The sequence below is a fragment of the Homo sapiens genome, chromosome 6, assembly GCF_000001405.40.
Source record: "Homo sapiens chromosome 6, GRCh38.p14 Primary Assembly".
In the NCBI taxonomy this organism is placed as follows: Eukaryota; Metazoa; Chordata; class Mammalia; order Primates; family Hominidae; genus Homo; species Homo sapiens.
Genome location: NC_000006.12, coordinates 3,786,471 through 3,789,901, shown reverse-complemented (window position 1 = coordinate 3,789,901; position 3,431 = coordinate 3,786,471). Strand labels below are relative to the sequence as shown.

The following is a 3,431-nucleotide window of genomic DNA, read 5'->3' as shown; positions in this document are numbered from 1 at the left end:
AGAACTGTGCCAGGTGGTTACCCAGCTGACCCAAATCCTACCATCCAGTACTCAGTCCTTTGCCCGTTAACTAGACCTTAGGGGAGTAATATTGGGGATAGAAAATACATTATAAATTTAATTTAGCTCAATGTTATCCTATGTGCCTTTGCGGCATGCAGGCACAGTCAGGGGCTATTGGCCTTACTGCTGAGGGGCTGTGAGCCCTACAGTGGTTGCTTTTTCCCAAGGTTCTTTATCAAAGTTCCCAAGCTGGCCTGCATAGAGGAAGCGTGAAAGGCTTTCTAGTAATTCAGTTACTGCTCCTAGACCCAGCAGTGAAGGAATGGGATCAACACTGGGCCATAGCCCTAGTCAAAATATGATCCATAGAGCTAAGATGTCGAAACTCAGAAAAAAACACTGCTTAGACTAAGCATTATTTTGATAAAATACTTTCATGTTGGAAAAACCTAGAATTACAAGCATTTCCAAGGGAATGTGTTTACTCCACACTGTGAGTTGCCAGCAGCAGGAGAGAACCACATATTTTCCATGAGGATGAAAGTTCACCTGGATGGAGTCATTTCAACATTCCTACTGACTCAGGGAGATCATCCGGAGAAAGTTCAGATGAGGACACCATAACCCGTGTTCACAAATGGTCAATAAACCCAGATTCGGAGTGTTTAGTAACAGAACTTAGCCTGGAGCGTGTGTAACGTAAGTCAGCAGGTCTGAACCTTAGACTGTCTGGACCACCTCCTCATCGCAGAGGTGGCGATGCTGGGCCTGCCCTGCTCACACGGCTGAAGAGTATCACTGGGAAGGAAGTGGGCTCGTGAGATAATCCAATCCAGTGCTTCCCAGCCTTTAATGAGAAATGGTAAACCAGTGTGAGGAAGAGCACGGATTCTGGAGTCAGACGGCCGTCCAGTGATGGAATTCTGGCTCTGCCACTATCAGCTGTGAGTTGAGCAAGCGCCCTGAAAACTCTGTGACGTGGAAATTACAACACGTGAGCACAGAGAACAGCACAGAGTGCATTCCACAAATGGTGGCTCTTGGCTGACCCAGACCCAGTGAGAGGCAGCTCTGCCCTGGCCCCAGGCTTTACAGGGCCCCAATCCAGCCCCTACCCACTGGGGTGAGGACGTCACCTGGAGCTCATGTGTCTTTCTGTAGACCACATTCCAGGTAACTGGGACCCCAAATTTCCTGCCCAAGTTGCTCTGTTCTCACTTTCAGGTCCTGCATGAAGGGATTCCTTAGGATCTGTCTTCCTGGGGAGCACCACACTGCAGGTGACACCACCCGTGGGCCTGAGGGGTGAAGACAGGCAGCTGTTGTGAGTCACGCACAGAGCTTGGGCATGTGGTCTAAGCAGGCCGAGCCTATGCATGAGAGCCCACTCAGGAGCTGGGGTGAGAAGAGGAGGGGGCAGGCCAGAGGCCAGGAGCGTCCTGCACTGCTACATACTGTGCTGTTAACCTCACGGTGCCCAGAAATTTTACATTTGAACCTTGTCTTCAGGTCATGATGAAGGTATATTTGCAAAGGCAGGAGGATATGGACATATTTATCAGTTTGGTGAGCAACTTTTAAATATTTAAACCTATGGTGCGTGGGCCTCCATGTGCGCTCTTGCCTGGGGCCCCGCAAATGTTAGGGGCACAACTGACTGCTACAATTGTATATGTTTTTCATTGCATCAGCCACTCTATGGAAGATCCCATATTCTACCACGTTGAATATCTGCTCTTTCCCAAGAGTCATATTTACATGGCTTCATTTTTATGAGGAATGAATGAGAAAGTTTTATGGCTTCTAAAAATTTCATTTTTAGAGACAGGGTCTTACTCTGTCACCCAGGCTGGAGAGCAGTGCTATAATCATAGCTCAGTGCATCTTGGAACTCCTGGGTTCAAGCCATCCTCCTGCCTCAGCCTCCTGAAGAGCTTGGATGATAGGTATGCACCAGGCCCTGCTTCTTATATTTATTCTTTAAGGGAAGTTCAAAACAAACGTAAAGAAACAACAGCCTGTGGGCCACTGGACATCAGAGTGTAGTTCATCGGGGCGAAGAGGCTTGTTTTAGAGTCAGTGCGGCCCTCGGAATGGTCACGTTGGCCCCTCAGAAGCAGAAGTTGGTTGATCCCTGTTCCAATGCTCAGCCACTAATGAGCCTCAGCTGCTCCCTCCATCTCAGCTTCTGTGCCTTTCTTTAGATTATTATCAAACACATGTGTTTATTTAGCTTCTCATGTATTTCTTATTTTCTGCCCCGCTTAACAGCTAAGGTGTGCGTTCCTTGAGAGTAGAGGCTATGTCTAATATCTCTGTTTCTGGCATAGAACTGAACACATAAGCATAGCTTAGGAATATTTGTTAACTGGGTCATCAAGGTGTCTGACAGGACGAAGTAAGTTTGGTTTCTAACATAGTTTTAGATGTTCTGAATTCTTCTAAAAATAATACATTTGAAAACAACCCTTTATTTCAAACAGTGGTTTATCTCTGACTCTAAAACTGATGGATTTCAAAGTACATGGTTTCTTGACCAGGTTTTTAAGGTGGCTCATTACTCTACAGACACAGTCTTAAAGCGGCTTCCTCAACGGCTTGACTCACTAACCTTGCTGAATGTCCATGACGAGTAGAACTCGGTGTATTCATTTTTTAACTGATACATAATAGTTGTACATATTGATGAGGTACATGTGATATTTTGATTTGTGCATACGATGCTTAATAATCAAATTAGAGTATTTAGGATAACCACCGCTTCAAACGTTTCTCATTCTCTGTGTGTCCTTGATACAAGTAATTTCTCTTTTAGAAATTCAACCTAAGGAAACCAAGCAGAGTCCACCTTTAAGCCCAGGATGACAGGAGTGACGACATCTGCTTTGACAAGCAGTCATAAAAGTATGTTTTTAAATAAATTCCAGCTTCATGGGAAAATTCTCACAATATAATATTAAATTAAAAAGCAGGATATAAAATTATCTACAGAATATACAGTATAAACCCAAGTGTGTAAGGAACACACACAACTACGTCAAGGCAACAGAATTGCCATTTGTAGTTGTGGAATTCTGAGCAATTTTATTTTCTAATGCATTTTTGTCACATGTGTGAATATATTACAAAAAGTTTTTTCAAAAAATAGGAAATTCCAGTTGGGTACGGTGGCTCACGCCTGTAATCTCAGCACTTTGGGAGGCTAAGGCAGGTGGATCACTTGAGATCAGGAGTTCAAGACCAGCCTGGCCAACATGGTAAAACCCCATCTCTACTAAAAATACAAAAATTAGCTGGGTGTGGTGGCATACGCCTCTCATCCCAACTACTGAGAAGGCTGAGGCAGGAGAATCACTTGAACCTGGGAGGCGAGGTTGCAGTGAGCCGAGATCACACCACTGCACTCCAGCCTGAGTGACAGAGAGAGA

At 44.9% G+C, this 3,431-nt stretch overlaps 1 long non-coding RNA gene across 1 annotated transcript; it reads left to right on the top strand.

Annotated features, from left to right (window-relative positions):
• Positions 1-782: 782 nt before the first annotated feature.
• LOC124901244 (uncharacterized) lies at positions 783-2,943 on the top strand. The gene is made up of 2 exons (XR_007059412.1): positions 783-947; positions 1,228-2,943. It is a non-coding gene; the product is annotated as an uncharacterized LOC124901244 (long non-coding RNA).
• The last annotated feature ends 488 nt before the right edge of the window (positions 2,944-3,431 follow it).